This window comes from Homo sapiens, chromosome 20, assembly GCF_000001405.40.
Source record: "Homo sapiens chromosome 20, GRCh38.p14 Primary Assembly".
NCBI classification, from domain to species: Eukaryota; Metazoa; Chordata; class Mammalia; order Primates; family Hominidae; genus Homo; species Homo sapiens.
The window spans coordinates 55,604,828-55,621,753 of NC_000020.11; the positions used below are offsets into that span (position 1 = coordinate 55,604,828).

The 16,926-nt window shown below is 37.6% G+C and overlaps 1 long non-coding RNA gene across 2 annotated transcripts in view; it reads right to left on the bottom strand.

The window, feature by feature from the left end:
* LOC105372676 (uncharacterized) overlaps nucleotides 1-16,926 on the bottom strand; it is a 60,004-nt gene that overhangs the window by 27,368 nt on the left and 15,710 nt on the right. The window contains exon 4 of one of the 2 annotated variants that reach the window (XR_001754683.2): nucleotides 3,023-3,475. The exons of the other annotated variant lie outside the window; for it this stretch is intronic. This is a non-coding gene — a long non-coding RNA (uncharacterized LOC105372676). Of the gene's footprint in view, nucleotides 1-3,022; nucleotides 3,476-16,926 lie in introns of those variants that run through there. 2 annotated transcript variants of the gene reach the window in all.

Sequence of the window (16,926 nt, forward strand, 5' to 3'; positions counted from 1 at the left end):
TGAGCTGAATATAATCTTTGAGAAATAGAAAAATAGATTGAGTGTGGCCAAGGATCATTCAACTTCTAACATTCTCAAATGTAGACTGAATTATGTCTTCTGTTTGTTAGAATTAAGGAAAAAAATTCATGTTTCGAGTACCTTTTCTGTTAATCTACTTTCACATTTTACATATTTAGCAGTTTTAGGCTAATTAACAACAGGGTTGTGTATATGTAATTTTGAAGTTGTAATTCTGAAACATATTAGGACTTATCTTTGTTAATTATAAAATTTCAGCTGGATGCTAGACACTGTCATTTAATCAATTTGCGATGTATACTTTGTATTGGTATCCACTTATATTAAGGCAAGTGTTTTAAGTAAATCGGTATACTAGTTCAATTTGACTTCAGTTTCATCAATTTTATCAGTTGATTGATAATCTGATTTAATCAATGTCTTCTTTCTTCTGTATAACTCACCTCAGGATTTAGAACTAGCTTTGTTATTGGAAGTCCAAAATTAATCTACATTTCAATAAGAGAATGAGAAAGAGCCTGGTTAGGATACTTGTTAAAGTGGGCTTGAAATTAAAATGACTAAACTCAAAGCAATTATAACCTCACTAATAAGGTTTAAAAATCACTGTGAATATTAACCCAATGTGGACGTGAATCTTATAAAATATTTACACTTATGCATTACTATGAAGAGTTGATTTTTGATCTGTTGTAAGCTAATTTGATAAATTTTACAACCATAGAAATGTTCAAAAACTTAATGGTTTATCATAAGAAAATAAGAAACATTTCTATCCCAAAAAATTAGAAAAATGCCTGGGCATGACAACATTCATAGTGGTGTTGTTTATAATAGTAGACATTGAAATGAACACGAATGCCCTACAATAAGAGAATGACCAAATAAATTGTAGTAACATGAAATTGATGAAATTACATATAACCAATAAAAATAATGATGACTATGCAGGAACATAGAACATTCCTATAACAAACTTTTGTGTTATTTGTGTTATCATTAAATTTATATGAGGATCATAGAACCATAACTATTTATTCAGTATGTACTCACTGAAAATGCATTGCACCCTGTGCTAAAAGCAGCAGACATAAAACTGACAGATAAAACTGAGGGAGATATGACCCCTGCCCTCTGCATTTGACAGACCAAGAGGAGCATCCCCAACTTCCCACTTAGGAGCTGTGCATACTTAATCTCTTTCAGTCTGTTTCTTTCTCCTCTGCAAAATGGGTATGAGATGAGTAACCACCTCTACAGGGCATCTTTGAGTATTTAATTGATATTATGTGTATTTGTTTAATCCATTGCTTGGTGTGTTAGTTTGCTAGTTTGTGTTAGTACTTTGTTAACCTTAACAAACTACTATAAACTGAGTGGCTTACACAACAGGAATTTATTGTCTCATAGTCCTGGTAGCTAAACATCTTCAGATCCAAGCGCTAGTGGAGTTGGGTACTTCTGAGGGCTGTGAGGGAGAATCTGTTTCACGTACCTCCCGTGGCTCTGGTAATTTGCTAGCAATCTTTGACGTTTCTTGGCTTGTAGAAGCGTCACCCCAATCTCTCCCTTCATCTTTTTTTCTTTTTTTTATTATTATTAAAGTTTTAGGGTACATGTGCACAATGTGCAGGTTAGTTACATATGTATACATGTGCCATGCTGGTGTGCTGCAGCCACTAACTCGTCATTTAGCATTAGGTATATCTCCTAATGTTATCCCTCCCCCCTCCCCCCACCCCACAGCAGTCCCCAGAGTGTGATGTTCCCCTTCCTATGTCCATGTGTTCTCATTGTTCAATTCCCACCTATGAGTGAGAACTTGCGGTGTTTGGTTTTTTGTCCTTGCGATAGTTTACTGAGAATGATGATTTCCAATTTCATCCATGTCCCTACAAAGGACATGAACTCATCAATTTTTATGGCTGCATAGTATTCCCTTCATCTTCTCATGACATTCTCTCTGTGCACATGTCTGTCTTCAAATTTCCCCTTTTTATAATGACACCTGTCAGATTGGATTGGGGCCAACTTTAATGACCTCCTTTTAACTATATTACCTCTGTACAGACCCTATGTCCCAAGAAGGTCACATTCTGAGGTACTGAAGGTTAGGACCCCAACACAGGAATTTTGGGGAGACACGAATTAATCCATAATACTTTGTATGGCATAAGCTTTCAATAAATGTTAGCTACTATTATTACCAATATTGTTAAGACTAATAGTCATATGACATTATAATGGTGTATGTGGCAAGACCTGACATGCTAACCAAATAAGAAGAAAACAGTTGATTAGTTGGACGATAAGAGTCTAAGTTATCAAGTGTCTTTTTAAATTTTTCTTTTCTTATCATTTTTATAATGCCCACCCATCCCCCTGGAGTTTGCACTATTTGGAGAGGGGAAAAAATCTGGACTGTCTCTTAAATATAAGCAACTGCCATTCATCCATAAATACCATTTCACTCACTTCCCACTGACTCCCACTCTCAAATAGAAACATCCATAAAAAAGTCCAGCTCACTTTTGGAGAATGAAAAAGACCCCCTTTTACTCTATTTTGTATTCTGTCTTGTCTTAATTATCGCATGAAACAGCAGCCTTTTTACCTTCGTGTTCCTTCCTAGTATTTTATTTCAATATTTATGCTTTTCTTCTCCAGAAAAGAAAGCATTGTTTTCTAATTTCTCTCATCTCTCCTGACTGCTGTGTAGTGATTATGACATATGGATTACCACCTATAGATTCTTTATAGCAAGAAGGTCCTCGGGCCAAGTGACAAAATCTTTGACTTTATTAGAGTCATTCTTTTCTCTCGCAGTCTTTTTAAATATTTATTTTCCTTCAGGTACTTTGGCTGTTGGATTTCTTTCTTCCTAGTATGTCACAACCCTTGGCTTAAAAACTCAATGTTTTATTTTCAAAATAAAAATATATTGAATTGTGCAGTTTTCAGATTAAGGGAAAGAAAGATAAAAGTAAGCATTAACTTGGAGTATTTGAGCCATTTATAAAAATTTATTTCATGGATTCAGCTAAAATTTAATACATAAGTCCACATGAAGAATTGTGTCTACAAAAAATATTTAAAGAGAAGATGTCAGGTCATGTAACAGAAAAGTCCAAGATGTATCTCTTCAGGTGAGGCTAGATCCAGCAACTTGAGTCATGCTACAGATGATTTTTCTCCTTATCCCTCTGTTCTTTTTTCAAATACTGACTACATCCTCAGACAGAGACCTAGTAGGAAATCTCAGGACATCGCCTCGTAGTTACTAAACAGTAGCTGTAGGTTCAAAGCTCTCATCCTCCTTCCACACACCCAAGAGAATTAGAATGAGTCACTGATTTGATTCTTCAGAAAAGAGAGGTAGTGTCTCCTTCTTAAATGTTTCCTCACAGGTCATTGGCATTGATGCTGCTTGACTTATGCATCCAGCTCTGAAAGGCTATGAACAAAATGACATTAGCATCCCGTGTGAGCCACAGGACTGAGAAAGAAAGGTCCCTTCACAAAGAAAATTCAGGGTGCTGTTCTTAGAAGGAAAGGGAATGGGGCATTGCTGCCAAATAGAAAACAACAGATGTCCACCTCCAGAATATATTTAATAGTGGAAACAATTATTTTTAATGATCATAGCCTTGTATTTTATAGAAAGGTGCTCTATACCTTGCCCGAGGTGGTCAACAGACAAGTTTGTTTTATATACTTCTTTAAGTCAAGATTTCAAATGTAGGGTTCTGTACAGTCCATGAGGCAATGACTCCTTCTCCTAGAAAGTGTTCTTTTCATACCTCACTTAAGAGGGTTTCACAGAAGGGGCCCTGCGAAGCCAGTTTGTGTTGCTTGATCCCATTACCCTGTTCGTGGGTGATTGAACCAGGGGTAAGCTGCTGACCTAAAGTGAGCCATCAGATTCTCCATCCTATGCATTTGGAAATGGTGGTGGGGATGGGAAAAAATAGGAAAAAAAAAAGCTACCTAATAAAGAACTTATCCCATTTATAATAAACAGAAGCATACTCCAATAAAAATATAGGCAAGCAAAATAAATGGGAAATTCACAAAACATAAAAAAAGTTTGTGTTAGCAAGGTTCGACCAGAAAAAATAGAAATAGTAAGAGCAACATATTGAGAGATTTACTGCAAGGACTCAGCTTGGGCAACTGTGACGTCCGGCTGGGTAGGCCTAGAATCTGGGGAGCAAGTTTTCAGGAAGCTGAGACTCTAACACATGGGCTGAGACTCTGTCCTCAGGCAGAATTTCTTTTTCAGGGAGCCTGAGCTCCTTCTCTTGAAATCTTTCATGTGATTGGATCAGGCCCAATCAGCTTATCTATGATAATATCTCTTACTTAAAATCAACTGATTATGGACTTTTATCATATCTACAAAGTACCTTCCCAGCAACACTTAGCCAACTATTTGATTGAATAACTAGGAACTGTGGCCTCGCCATGATGTTGATACATCAAATTGTCCATCATGACATTCAATCACACTAATAATCTAGGAAGGGAATACTAAAGTCACAAGCATATTACTTTTACCTAATAAATTAAAAATTGTCTTAAAATACTAAGACTTGGTGTTACTATGAAAGAAAAGCAAAAGATACATCTACTGGAGACCATAAGTTGTAAGCTGTCTTTCTAGCAATGTGGCATAATATCTCAGGGACACCAACATTTTAAAAAGAAATTTAATGTGAAAGAAAATAGAGCATAAAATAAGTAAATTATTATTTAACCATAAGATGGAATGTCAGATAACTATTAAACATTGAGTTAAAGGACAATATTTCATGGCATAAATAAAGTTCTTGATATATTAAAGTAGGTATATTAAAGAGATAGTTGATAAATATCATAGACATTCAGTTTTGTACAGTAATAAAAAGGGTAGAAGTATATAAATCAAACTATAAGAGTAACTCTAGGTAATGGGTAATTTTTTTTTTTTCTTGAGACAGAGTCTCACTCTGTCGTCCAGGCTGGAGTACAGTGGTCCGATCTCAGCTCAGTGCAACCTTCACCTCCCAGGTTCAAGCAATTCTCCTGCCTCAACCTCCTGAGTAGCTGGGATTACAGGCACCCGCCACTGCGCCCGGCTAATTTTTGTATTTTTAGTAGAGACGAGGTTTCACCATCTTGGTCAAGCTGGTCTCGAACTCCTGACCGTCTGATCCACCTGCCTTGGCCTCCCAAAGTGCTGGGATTACAGGCATGAGCCTCCGTGCCCGGCAGGTAATGGGTAAATTTTTATTTGTGGCTTTTAGCAATTTCTAATTCTTACAATAAACAAGCTCTTGTTGTGAAATTAGTTACAGTTGGGGTTTGTTATAATATTGAGGAGTTAAATAATGCCACCATATAGAGAATCTTGAATATAAAGTGCATTTGGAGGTTCACATACATTCGTGTACTTAATCACTGCACCGTTAACTCACTCAACAAATACATTCTAACCTTTTATTCTATGATAGTCACTGTTTTAGGCAATGGAAATAAAATAGTGAGCAAAGCAAACTCAGGCCCTTCTGTCATGGAGCTTAGCAGGTAAGAGAGAAAATAAAGAATCAGATAAATACATTTGTAGTTGCATTCTATAACAAGCGCACTGAAGGAAAGAGACAGTTTTCTGAATGTACTAGTATTTATATTAAAATTTTAAATTATTATATAATGAAAATATGTAGTGTGTGTTCGTTTGGTATGCTTGTGCACGTGCGTGCTGTGTGTTGTGTGCTGTCACCAGCATCAACATCTCAAATTAGCACTTGGAGAATGAGATTCCAGGAAAAAATATCCAGAAATGCCTAAAATTGCTAAAACTCTGCAAAAGAAATATTGAAAAAAAAAATGCACCATTGCATAATGAATCCTGAGTAATTGGCTGAAGCTCTGAATGACACACCCACATACATTGACAGTTTTCCACTGGGCTCATATCATTCATCCATTTTCCCTCAGAATCTGAAAGATAAATCTGACAAGCTCTGGATAAACACTGGCTAAGACTCTATAGTTTCTGGGTATGGAGAGGTGACATGACTTATTCTCTGTTATCATCGGGTCTCCTGTTAGGCAGCTTCAGCAAAGACTCTGGATAGATCAACATGTCAGGCTGGAGGCTTAGTGATAATTCAGACTGCGGTTGAGTTGAAGCGACTGCTCAGGCAATCAGGAGAATATAGCAATGCATAGTTCCTTCCAAACTACAAGAAAACTGAGAAGAGAAATAGAATTTTGAACTCTTTGGTATAATGAATAAGATCACAAAACTGGAAACTCGCCTACTAAATTAAGCCAATTATTTTGTTCCCCCCTAGATGAGATCAAATAATGGTCCTCATGGAGGTGTCAGAAATAGGATTGCAAAGAAGAGTCCATACACAATCAGGAAAAATAGATCTTGTGTTAAGATATCTTGGCATGCATGACTATGGTGATTGCTTCCTCATTTCCTCCAAGATGCATTTTGAGTGAATTATTCCTCCTCATATAGTTGTAGCACAGGGAGAGATCATATTCTTAGAATGAGAAAGGGACTAGGTTTAGATACCAACTATGACTTTTTGCCAGTGAAGACCCATCTGTCCGCTATTGATTTAATAACTGAGCAAAGTTTCAGTAACTTGGTGAAATTTTCATTTGCTATCTGCATTAGGTGGAATTCTGAAATGGCCCCCAAATTCTCCTTGGATGTGGATGCCTTAGTATCAGACCTTCCTTCTCCTTGAGTGTGAGTGGGCCTGCCCTAAGCAGGTGAGCCCTTTAAAGAGGCTCTAGGGTCAGAGACAGAAGTTAGAGAGATTTGAGACAGCAGAATATATTCTCCTGCTGGTGCTGAATAAGAGAACTACCATGCTGTGGAGTGAATCATGTGGTAGGGAACATGGAAAACTAAGGGTCAGCCCTAAAACTGCAATGAATTGAATTCAGCCAACAACCAGTGAGCTTGGAAGAGGGCTCCTGGCCTCAGATGAAATCACAGCCCTGGCTGACACCTGAATGCAGAACTGTGAGACCCTGCACGAAGAAACCAGCTAAAACATGCCAGAAAACTGCAAGATAATAACTTTGTTTTGTTTCTTAATTGTACTTTAAGTTCTGGGGTACATGTGCAGAATGTGCAGGTTTGTTACATAAGTATACATGTGCCATGGTGGTTTGCTGTGCCCATCAATCTGTCACCTACATTAGTATTTCTCCTAATGCTATCCCTGCCCTAGCCCCCCATCCCCTGACAGGCCCCGGTGTGATATTCCCCTCCCTGTGTCCATGTGTTCTTATTGTTCAACTCCCACTTATGAGTGAGAACATGTGGTGGTTGGTTTTCTGTTTTTGTGTTAGTTTGCTGAGAATGATGGTTTCCAGCTTCATCCATGTCCCTGCAAAGAACATAAACTCATCCTTTTCCATGGCTGCATAGTATTCTATGGTGTATATGTGCTACGTTTTCTTTATCCAGTCTATCCTTGATGGGCATTTGGGTTGGTTCCAAGTCTTTGCTATTGTGAACAGTGCCACAGTAAACATACGTGTGCATGTGTCTTTATAGTAGAAAGATTTATAATCCTTTGGGTATATACCCAGCAATGGAATTGTTGGGTCAAATGGTATTTCTAATTCTAGATCCTTGAGGAATTGCCAAACTGTCTTCCATAATGGTTGAACTAATTTACACTTTGTAGGCCGGGCACGGTGGCTCACACCTGTAATCCCAGCACTTTGGGAGGCCAAGGCGGGTGGATCACAAGGTCAGGAGTTCGAGACCATCCCAGCCAACATGACGAAACCCTGTCTCTACTAAAAATATAAAAATTAGCCGGGCGTGGTGGCGGGCGCCTGTAATTCCAGCCATTCGGGAGGCTGAGGCAGGAGAATTGCTTGAACCCAGGAGGCAGAGGTTGCACTGAGCTGCAATCATGCCATTGCACTCCAGCCTGGGCGACAAGAGCAACACTCCGTCTCAAAAAAAATGTATATATATATATACACACTGTGTAAAAGTGTCCCTATTTCTCCACATCCTCTCTAGCATTTGTTGTTTCCTGACTTAATGATTGCCATTCTAACTGGCGTGAGATGGTATCTCATTGTGGTTTTGACTTCCATTTCTCTAATGACCAGTGAGGATGAGCTTTTTTTCATATGTTTGTTGGCTGCATAAATGTCTTCTTTTGAGAAGTGTCTGTTCATGTCCTTTGCCCACTTTTTGATGGAGTTGTTTTTTTTTTTCTTGTAAATTTAAGTTCTTTGTGGATTCTGGATGTTAGCCCTTTGTCAGATGAGTAGATTGCAACAATTTTCTCCCATTCTGTAGGTTGCCTGTTCACTCTGATGGTAGTTTCTTTTGCTGTGCAGACGCTACAGTACCATTCAGGACATAGGCATGGGCAAAGACTTCGTGACTAAACCACCAAAAGCAATGGCAACAAAAGCCAAAATAGATAAATGGGATCTAACTTTGTGTTGCTGAGTTACATTATGAGCTAAGTATGTGAGATTGCTTATGCAGAAATAGAAACCTAACAACACTATCTATGCTTCCTTTCTGTTTTTTTAAAATTCAGTTAAATGAATTATTTGTTCCTCCATGGTCAAAACTCTAATCATGATGTGTCCAGAGACTGCAGATTTCAGTACAACATAAATGCAAAAATCATCCCCAGTGATCTGTTTTAAAAATTTAACACTAATATTCACACTGAGATAATTTCTTTGGCTTGAATCTCATAAATACAAACTAAAAATATTACAGAAGTTAGCATCTAGAACTTGGTATCTGAGTAACAAATAATATTAAAGATAACTCATGTATTCATTGCTTGTTCTTTGCCATTCATTGTACTTTTTTCTTCACTACATTTTCTCATTTAATCCTCCCCCAAAAACGATAAAGATGGGGAGATACTGTATAATAATTTATGGGTGAAAAAACTAAAATTTAGATAATAGTTAAGTAACTTGCCAAGGGACACACATGGCTGTAAGTAGTAGAGGCCAGATCGAAATTCCCCATTCAGCTGCTGTGCCAGCACTGTATATGAAACGCAGGCTTTGTCTTTTAGCCTCCTGTAACCAACCTTTTACCCTGGAAAGTGACTACACTACACTACAAAAAAAAAAAAAAAAAAAAAAAAAAAAAAAAAACAGGGTTTTTTAAAAATATCTATATATTCAGAATATATAAAAATAAATTGTGAAAATGTAACCATTTATTTTATTTATTCAGAATGGGTATTGAGTCCTATACGTACCAGGAACTGCACACTGTCACAGCAAATGCCTTTTGCCTGACTAAACAGATGTTGACAATTCTTCCTTTTTGTTTTTTCCTCCATGCCTTCTTTACTAGGATCTAGATCTCTGGTCTCATGAAATGGTTATGCTTATATTATCACTTTGTTACATGTTTACTTAGTTACAATTTTAAAAAAAAAAGAAAACCCCCAGCTGGTCTGGGAATTTGCAACTAGAGAGGTGCCTGATCCTCTCTCTTCTTAGTCTGCCTGGCCTCCAGCGGTTCCGCTGCTGGGCTCAGACTTATTTTAATTCCCTAGTTTCCTACTGAGTCAGAGTCAGGCGCTATATCACTTTTCAGCGTCAATAACGCAGGTCTAATTTTCCTAAGTTGATGAGGGTCTGATAGATCTGATGACCTTTTGTTGGAATGTCATTTACAAGTATGATTAAATTATTCTCCATGGCTGAATTGACACCTACAGCTGATGTATCTTCCTCCAGAGGCAGCAGAAAAATCTGCTTCACCCTCTCATGCGCGGCAGAGATCTTTTGTAGGCAGATTACAGATTTTCAGCTTTGAGTTTGAAAAGGTGACCCTGGTGATGATGACTTTTTTTTTCAAATGTGTTTTAGCTGATACCATTTCTCTCCAAACCGATTAACTATATCTCTATAGCTATACCTAAAAAGGCTATTTATTTAATCTGTTAGGAGAAATAGAAAAAAAAGAAAGGATGCCAGTCAAATTTCTTGAACTACATCTTCCTGGGAAGTAAGAAAAGTGACATTTTGGAGCACTGTCTATTTGCTATGTTAAACATTGTATTTTTGTTACTTATTTAATTTTGACAATAACATATGAAGTATAATATTTGCATTAAACTTATATTTTGAGCCTACTGTGTGTCAAACATGGCTCAAATAACTAGAGATACAGTGAATTCTGCCCTCATCGAGCTTAACTGCATATGAGGAAACTGAGGCAAAGGAAGATTAAGTAGGCTCCCTGCGTGCACAGCTCGTGCCTAGAATATGGTATGTGTTCAATAAGTGTTGAATGTATAAAACGGAATCAAGGATGACCCAGGTCTGCCTGCCTCTACAACCCAAGCTTTGTTCTCTAGCATATAAGAAAAAGAGATGAGCATAAGAAATTCATAAAGTAAAAATATTCCATGGGAAAGATGAGGCTTCAGAGTTTGCTGTGAGCTGCTAGTCTTGACCTCTGACTGCACCTCTTGTGTTACTTTGCCGCCATGCACAGAGCTAAGCTTACTGCTACATGTGTTGTCAATAGATGGTGGCTCATAGGCCAAATTCAGCCCACTGCCTGTTTTTGTAAATAAAGTTTCATTGGAACATAGCTAAGCTCATTTGTTTACCTATTGTCTACAGCTGCTTTTGTGCTATTTTGAGTCATTGTGACAGAGACTGTATGATCTATGAAGCCTAATGTATTTACTATCTGGTCCTTTACAGAAATGTTTGCAGACTTCTGTAGGAACTTGTCAAAATAATCCTAACAATCCTAAAAGACAGATACTATTACTATCCCTGTTTTATGAATGTGAGAAGTCATACAGTTAGTAGATAATTGTGTCAGTATTGGAGACCATAAACAAATATAAAGTGTTTTTAATGAATTATTACACCACCTCCTCCACACAGATGCCTTCTGGGAGATGAGAGTGAGCGTGTCTAAAATGGTCGTGGATTGGAGAGGATGTGTCTTAGCTACTGGGGCTTCCAGAGTTTTGAGCACTGACAACTTCTCTCTCTCAGCTCTAATCCCTCAGTGTATAGCCTGTGGGTTGGCTCAGGTTCTTGACTTCACCAGCGAAAGAATTTGAGAGTGAGTCCAAAGTAAAGGTAAGCAAGAGACTTGATTGCACAGCAAAAGTGCACTCTGCCAGCTGATCAGAGCAGGCCGCTCAAAAGTGAAACAGCACCGACTGACACTGGGGAAGCCACCTTATGGGAGTCTGACTGACATGGTTATTCATAAAAGGGTGATGCTGCTAAGCATGTTCTGGGCTGTCTCCTGGTGGCACATGCGCTGTGGTTGAGCATGCTGGTACATATGTCACATGTCTCATTAGCATCATAAATCCCCACCCAGATGTGGGTTCTTCACTATTATAATGAGCACAGGTCAGCCCAAGGACACTAATCATGGGTTTCTGCACTTGCATGAATTTGAGGATTTTCCCTTCTGCTCTTCTTCCTCCTTTCTGGAGGATGTTCTAATCACGAGCTCAGGATACGGCTCCTGTCCTGTTGGGTGGCTTGTTCTCTCCATCCATTTAGCAAGTCTGTTCACCTTTAAGGGAGGCTACGACCACACCCCCTAACCCACCTCCGGTGTAGCTGTGAAGCCCTGTGCTGAGACTTACGAACTTCCTTCAACTCCATTTTTATGGTGGTGATCATGGCATCTCATGCTACATATTCCCTTCCAAATGATGACGTCATCATCGATTGAAAAAGAAACCCAGAACCTTCAGAAGCAGACAATTTTTTGGTTGCCCTCAATTATTGGACTATCTATAAGAGATTTTCTTTTGCCTTAAGGTAAAGGTGGTATCGCCATTTTCCACATAATCAAAAACGTTTCCATGTTTAATTTTTATTATAAATTGAAATTTTACAATGATACTGAGTTTTTTATATCTATATCTTCTTTCATGGTGCCTAAACGTTTTCCTTGAAATCTATAAAAATTTTCAAATTGTCTTCCAATAATAAATACCATTTGGTAACCTTTACAAATATATAAGGCTATTACAACTCAGCTCCAGCTAATGATTGACATTTAGACGTGTAAGCCCAATATAGCCAGAGCTTCTGTATTTAAAAAAAAAAAACAAACTCAAATTTGCTACACATTTTGAGTCATACAAAATTTGACTGCAGGCAGATTCAGCTTGATGGTCACCAGGTTGTTTTCACCACAGTCTGCTAAACTGCATCCCCACACAGCCCAGGACTGCATAACTGAACTCACAGCTCCCAAATCTGAATGCACAAATAAACTATTGAATTTGGTGCAAAAAGAATTTAAATGCCCACTTAAAATAACGTATTTCTTATAATTTTCAAGAAATAAGAAATAAATTAACTTTAGTAACACTCAGTAATGCAGAGAGACACTGACACCCCTCACTTGGGTCCATAAACCTGATGCTGCTGTGTCCCCTAAGATTTGCTGGAGAAAGACTGCAGGTTCCAATGGAGAGATGCCAGGGTAGGCTAGATGCATAATGCAACTTACTGAAAATCACGAATGACCAGGTGAGTGAGTTTTTGAACAATAATGTATAATTTCAACTAAGTGAACCCCTCCCCAGATGGACAAGTAGCATAAAAAATATTTATTCAAAGGACTATAAACTGAAGATAATGCTAAGGACACAAAAACACAAGCATAGAAAGATAATGGAAAACGTGGCCTTTACACAACTCCTATTTCAATTGCTTGGTAAGCAATATAGTAAGATAAGAAGAACAGCGATCTAAAAAGAACTAGCCAATTATCGCAGCACCATTTGTTGAAAAGGGTGTCCTTTCCCCACTTTTTTTGCTTTGTCAAAAATCAGTTGGCTGTAAGTATTTGGGTTTATATCTGGGTTCTCTATGCTGTTCCATTGTTCTATGTGCCTATTTTTATACCAGTACCATGCTGTTTTGGTGACTATGGCCTTATAGTATAGTTTGAAATCAGGTAGTGTGATGCCTCCAGATTTGTTATTTTTGCTTAGTCTTGCTTTGGCTATGCCAGCTATTTTTTGTTGCATATGAATTTTAGAATTTTTTTTTCTAATTCTGTGTAGAATGATGGTGCCATTTCAATGGGGATTGCGTTGAATTTATAGATTGCTTTTGGCAGTGTGGTCATTTTCACAATAATGATTCTACCCATCCATTAGCATGGAATGTGTTTCCATTTGTTTGTGTAGTCTATGATTTCTTTCAGCAGTGTTTTGTAGTTTTTCTTGTAGAGGTCTTTCACCTCCTTAGTTAGGTATATTCCTAAGTATTTTATGTTTCTTCTTCAGCTATTGTGAAAGGGGTTGAGTTCTTGGTTTGATTCCCCACTTGGTCGCTGTTGGTGTATAGAAGAGCTACTGATTTGTGTACATGAATCGTGCATCCAGAAACTTTGCTGAATTCTTTTATCAGTTTTAGGAGCTTTCTGGAGGAGTCTTTAGGGTTTTCGAGGTAAATGATCGTATCCTCAGCAAACAGTGAGTCTGACTTCCTCTTTACTGATTTGGATACCCTTTCTTTCTTTCTCGTCTGATTGGTCTGGCTAGTACTTCCAGTATTATGTTGAAAAGGAGTGGTGAGAATGGGCATTCTTGTCTAGTTCCAGTTCTCAGAGGGAATGCTTTCAGCTTTTCCCTATTCAGTATTATGTTGGCTGTGGGTTTGTCATAGATGGCTTTTGTTACATTGAGGTATGTCCTTTGTATGCCAATTTTGCTGAGAGTTTTAATCATAAAGCGATGCTGGATTTTCTCGAATGCTTTTTCTGCATCTATTGAGACTATCATGTGATTTTTGTTTTTAAGTCTGTTTATCTGGTGTATCACATTTATTGACTTGCGTATGTTAAACCATCCCTGCATCCCTGTTATGAAACTCACTTGATCGGGGTGGATTATCTTTTTGATATGTGATTGGATTTGGTTAGCTAGTATTTTGTTAAGGATTTTAGCATCTATATTCATCAGGGATATTGGTCTCTAGTTTTCTTTTTTGGTTATGTCCTTCCTTTCTTTGTTTTGGTATTAGGGTGATACTGGCTTCATAGAATGTATTAGGGAGGGTTCCCTCTTTCTCTAGCTTGTGGAATAGCATCAAAAGTATTGGTACCAATTCTTCTTTGAATGTCTGGTAGAATTCTGCTTGCACATGCATGTTTACAGCAGCACAATTCGCAATTGCAAAATTGTGGAACCAACCCAAATGTCCATCAATCAACAAGTGGATAAAGAATGTGTGTGTGTGTGTGTGTGTGTGTGTGTATACACACACACAGAATGGAATACTACTTGTCCATGAAAATGAATGAAATAACGGCATTTGCAGCAACCTGGATGAGATTGGAGACTATTATTCTAAGTGAAGTACTTAGGGATGGAAAAGCAAACATTGTACTTTCTCACTGATATGTGGGAGCTAAGCTATGAGAATGCAAAGGCAGAAGAATGATAGAATGGACTTTGGGGACTTGGGGGAAAGGGTGGGAGGGAGGCGAGGGATAAAAGACTACAAGTAGGGTACAGTGTATACGGCTCCGGTGAAGGATGCACCAAAATCTCACAAATCACCACTAAAGAACTTACTCATGTAACCAAATACCACCTGTACCCCTGTAACCTATGGAAAATAAATAAATAAATATAAATAAAAAGAGATTAGAATAGTGTCTGACTTAAAGGGTTCAACAAATGAGTAAATGGGTCAACTAGTTAAAAAGAACTAATGAGCAGTCAGCCACAAATTTTCCAAATTATTAAGAATATTATTGCCATGTCACTTTTTTAATTTTTAGAACATACTTTCATGTATATAATGATTTGAAATATTAGTCAATGAGAGTAGTAGATGTGTATGAGTGTATGAAGTCAGAATGCCTTCTTGAGATTAGGGAACATGATCGAAAATATAACACTATAAAACATTCAAAAAGCTATCCAGTTTACTTTGGGGTAAGTAAAAGGCATTTTTAAAATGGCAAATCCACATGGTAGAAGCAATCCAGGTGTCCATCAACGGATGTCCAGGTAAGCAAAGTGTGGTGTAGATACACAAGAGAATAGTATTCAGCCTTAAAAAGGAAGGAAATTCTGACATATGCTATCATGTGGATGAACCTTGAGGACATTATGCTAAGTGAAATAAGCCGGTCACAAAAGGACATATATGTATGATTCCACTTCTATGAGGTTCTTAGTGTAGTCAAATCCAAAAAGACAAAAAGTAGAAGAGTGGTTGTCAGGGGCCAAGCAGGGAGGGGGATGAGGAGTTGGTGTTTAATGAGCACAGATTTTCAGCTGGGGAAGATGAAAACTCAGGAGATGGGTGGGGGTAATAGTTGCACATCAATGTGAATGTACCTAATGCCACAGAACTGTACACTTAAAAATTGTTAAGATAGTAAATTTTATGGTATGTACTTTTTATCCATCCCCACAGAACAAACTTTTGAAAAAATACACCAAGATTGTCTCTTTGGAATCATTAATGACATGTATACATTCACGGGGAAAAACGTTTAACAATCCAATATTTTAAAATCCCTAGAAATAAAAATGACAACTCATATGGCTCAATCCCCTTATCCTCACATCACTGTAGGGAAATGGAGGAGGAGGACCAGCCTTGAGGCATTGCTTCTTTTCCCTTTCTCCGAACTTGTGCATTTCAGAGTGAAAATCAGCACTGAGACTTTCTTAGCTGTCTCAGCTTATTTCCTCTACCCACATCACAGAAGAAAAACTGAAGTGAATCATTTCCAATAGTTATAAAATGAAAAACAATGAAAGTAACCTCCCAATAAATATGTGACTAGTGCCAATGTATTTCCAGAAATGCAATGCACATCTGCAAAATATGTCTGCTTCATTCTAGGAAGCTAACATAACAGCTGCACAATAAAGAAAGATCTCTGATAGCTTCTACCATAAGCTCACTTTAGAGAACATATGAAATCTAACACAACTACGTACTTTTATAAAAAGCATCATAAACTAGTTACAACTCATAACTGATTGGCTCCCTACCATTTTAATCTCATCTTCCTCATTAATAATTTTAGTAGAGTGGCTAATTCTTCCTGGCTTTTAACCTTCACCCATATTAGTCAATATTGTTTTTACATTTACGGCAGTGGTTATTCATACTTGCTCACATTTTATCAATTTCTCTGCCTGCCATTGTTTGTTTATTATTTTGGAATTTTCACCATATATGATTAACATCCTATAAAATGTACTATTTTAAAATGGACCATTTAGTAGCTTTAATATATTCACAAAGTACATCACCATCACCACAATCTAATTCCAAAACATTTTCATTACTATAAAAAAAATCAAGTACTTGTTAGTGGTCACTTCCCATTTTCCCATCCCCGAGACCCTGGCAGCCCCTAATCTATTTCTATGAATTTGCTTATTCTCGATTTCTACAAATGGAATTGCACAACATATAGCATTTTGTGGCCGATTTCTTTCACATGCCTCATGTTTTGTTACTGATTACGTTTTAGCCTATATCAGTAATTCATTCCTTTTTATTGCGAAAGAATATTCTATTGTATGGTATACTACATTTTGTTCATTCAACAGTTGATGGACATTTGGATTGTTTGAATATATATGTTTAATTCTTGTTAGAAACAAATGCTCTTTGCTGCAAAGAATAATCAGCACTCTGGCAAAAGTTGTCTCAGCAAGGCAATTTACTTCCATAGAAGGGTGCGTCTCATGGATGGAGCAATGGCAAGAGCACACTGAACAAAGGAAAGCAGGGGTTTTTATTCCTAACGCAATTGGTTTCTACTACTGTGTCCTGTCTCCATTGGCTGGAGCTGGACTGCACAATCTAAACTGGTCCTGGTTGGCTAATTTGAAGGGTGCA